Consider the following 3588-nt stretch of genomic DNA (forward strand, 5'->3'; position numbering starts at 1 on the left):
ACCTATGATCTGTGAGAATGAGACAACAAATAAATGAGCAATCTAAGCCCCAATCATTCATGAGGCTATAAAACATAAAGTACACAGAGAGCAAAATTTTTTCTTGTGTATCCTTATCTTATCCCTGATGTTCCAGAAAATCATTTGAGCTATGTAAGTTAAATTGATAACCATTCTATGGCTTCCAAGCTAATGAAAGTGCCAAGAAGCTGCCCCCTCCTGGCTTTGAGTGTTAGACTGCAGAGTACTTCCAATACTATGTGTTCCATCCACCTTATTTCCTGAACAGGAAAATCAATTCCTTAAAATCTTGTATTACTTTTTATCTTTGTTCTATCACCCACCAACTCCTTTTACTACAGGCAAAAACAAGGAACACAATAAGGAAATAATGGAAAGAGTCGAACAAGAATTAAATTCATTTTGGTTCAATCCAAATAGTGCTGAAGTGCTCGATATGAATGCTGTGTTCCAACCCAGTATCTCCTCTTGAGGGATGAAAGTAATTCTCTCTCAAGGAGCTTCTGAGAGTTAAGAACAACCAACAACCACAAAAATGATTTCCTGTGAATTCATCTGTAATAAAACATCTAAAGGGAAAGCTCTCTACTTGAGAGTCTTTCCAGTCAGTTATAGCACAAGGTATAAAGGGTGACTTTGACAGAACCAATTATTGTGGTATGCTAAAAGCAACATAAATTGACAAAGTCTATGAATTCTCTGTCTCAACTCACCATGCACAGGGTGAGTGCTTTCCTGCCAAGACATAATGTTCTATTACTCAAGGGAAGAAAAATTGAGATCAGAAATTAAATTTTGCAGCATTAAACATAACCTTGGCTAGTATTTATAGACCTAGCATAGTGCCCAGAGGAAGCTTATTATTATTTGTTTTTTATTTTCCAACATGGTGGAGCCAATTTGCCCTGGTTTGCCTGGGACTTTCTAGGATTTAGCACTGAAAATCCCCAAGTCCCAAAAACTCTTGAGTCCTGGTTAAACCAAGATAATTGGCAATCGTATTTCTCAAATCAAGTTAGTCCTATTTCTTGGTATAACTACATAGTAATTTTCAGGGTTCCAAAAACTCCTTCACCAAGAAAAGCACCTTTATCAGCATGAAATACAGCATTTGAGAAGAGATAAGTAAAATTATATTCATAAAATGATTGAAAATCCTCCCTATGGCTTATTGGGTAGACATAGTTGTTCATACATCACATGACAACAGCAAGACAGTCTCAGACCTCTTCCCCCTTACTTCAGAGAAAGGGGTTGCAATGCAAACCACTTCAATACATCCCAATAATTGCTGTCATGGCAGAAGCTATGAGCATTATAGGAGGACATAGTGGAATATAACTGGAAGGGTTGGGAAAAACTTCCCATGGGAGTGATAGCAAAACTGAAATCTTAAAACAAAGAAATACATTCTTAGTGTAGTGGTAGAAGTCACTAAACAAAGCCATATGCTGAGAGGGACAGCTGGGCAAGCTGGGCAGGTGTTTTTTTGTTTTTGTTTTTGTTTTTTTGTATCGTGCAACTTAAAACAGCAGACATTGCTGAGGTAAGGAGGCGCTCCAGAGTGGCAGGAGGAGAGACAACGAGAAAGAGACCAATGAATGCACCAGAAGGGGTATAGTTGGTTCCTCCAGAACAAACTTTACCCTTTTATCACATTTGTCTTGATTTCCTCTAGAAAAAATCTAGTCGCCTGAGCCATTTCCCCTTAAGCTTAAAGTACCCACAAGCCCTACCATTTACAAGGGATCTTCAAAAAGTTTATGGAAAATAAGTGTTATGAAAAAACTATGAATAGACTTCAACATTTTTTTGCACCAAGCCAAACTCATACTAACTTGTTTAACATGTTTGAACAAGGTCTAGTTCGAGGCACTAAGAAGGATAAGACATTAATTTTTTTAAAGCCCCTATAGAAGCAACATGAATTCTGCTAAAATTGAAGCAAGAACAAACATTAAATTTTTGGTAAAGCTTGAGTGGAAGAATGGTGAAATCACTGTGGCATTATGAAAAATTTATGGAGACAATGTCCCAAAGAAACCAGCAGTTTACAAATGGATAACTCTTTTTAAGAAGGAAAAAGACAGTGTTGAAGATAAGGCACAAGACGATGTTGGAGATGAACAGCAGACCATTCGCATCAGTTGGCAAGAAAAAAATTAATCTTATTTGTGCCCTAATTGAAGGAGATCAACGATTAACAACAGAAACAATAGCCAACACCATAGACATCTCACTTGGCTAAAATTGACATCTCAATGGCTATCTCTTGGTAGCCGTTGGACCAGTCAAGAGCAAAGATCATGGCAAAAGTGAACCAAGAGCAGAGGTCATGGCAACAGGTTTTGGGGATGCTCAAGGCATTTTGTTGTTGACTTTCTGGAGGGCCAAAGAACAATAACAACTGCTTATTATGAGATGTTTTGAGAAAGATAGCCAAAACTTTAGCAGAAGAACACCTGGAAACGCTTCACCAAATAGTCCTTCTCCATTACAACAATGCTCCTACTCATTCTCTCATCTAACAAGGCAATTTTGTAAGAGTCTGAATGTGAAATCATTAGGCATTCACATTGCAGTCCTAATATGATCTCCTGACTACTTTGTATCTCGTAATCTTAAAAAAAGCTTTAAAAGCCACCCATTTTAGTTAATAATGTAAAAATGATTGCATTAACATGGTTAGATTTCCAGGAACGTTAGTTCTTAAGGGATGAACTAAATGGCTGGTATCATAGCTTACAAAAGTTTATTGAATTTGATGAAGTTTATGTTGATAAATGAATTTTATATTTTTTATTTTTATCTCTTAATCCCATATTTCCGTGGACGTTTTGAAGTCTTCTCTCATACGTCTATTAAACTCAATCCACCCTTCAATGCTCCTCTGGGTATCTCCGTTTTCAACAAAGCTTCCTCTGTCTTTGTTAATTATTCCTGGCCTTCATCTTCCTGCGCCTCCAAACTCCTCACTATGTGTGTCACATATTTATGAGTTTCATCACATTTGATTTCCAGTATTTTAAAACTATTATTCATTAGGCCAACAATATTTTTTGAGCATTTACTATGTGCTAGGCACTATTCCAGGTACCGCTAAAAAGTAGCAAACAAGTCACAAATGATCCCTGGTCTCCTGGAGCATATAGTGCTTTAAAAAGAAAGAAAAAAGAAACAAAAAACAGAAACAAGAGTATAACCAGTTAAAGGTACAGACCATGTCTATATAGACATCAGTTGTATCCTCTACAGTGTCAAAAAAAAAATAGCTGTGGTACATATTAGGCAGTTAATAAATATTTGTTGACAATTAATTTAAATGCTTAGTAGTGGAATTATTCATATTAGGAAATAAAAGCAGTGTAAGAGGAATGGTATTAAATATAGAGGTTATTCAAGGGTTCCATTAAAATGTGATGATAACGTAACTATCCCTCACTGGGTAGTCCTGGTGATGATATGGATATGGAAGTTAAAGGTGGGGGTGGTGGGGGATGGAATTGGTTTGGAAAATACTTGTTATGATGAATATATATACATATTTTCTCTTTACCAAACTCAGTA

The sequence above is a fragment of the Homo sapiens genome, chromosome 5 (genome assembly GCF_000001405.40).
Source record: "Homo sapiens chromosome 5, GRCh38.p14 Primary Assembly".
Classification (NCBI taxonomy): domain Eukaryota; kingdom Metazoa; phylum Chordata; class Mammalia; order Primates; family Hominidae; genus Homo; species Homo sapiens.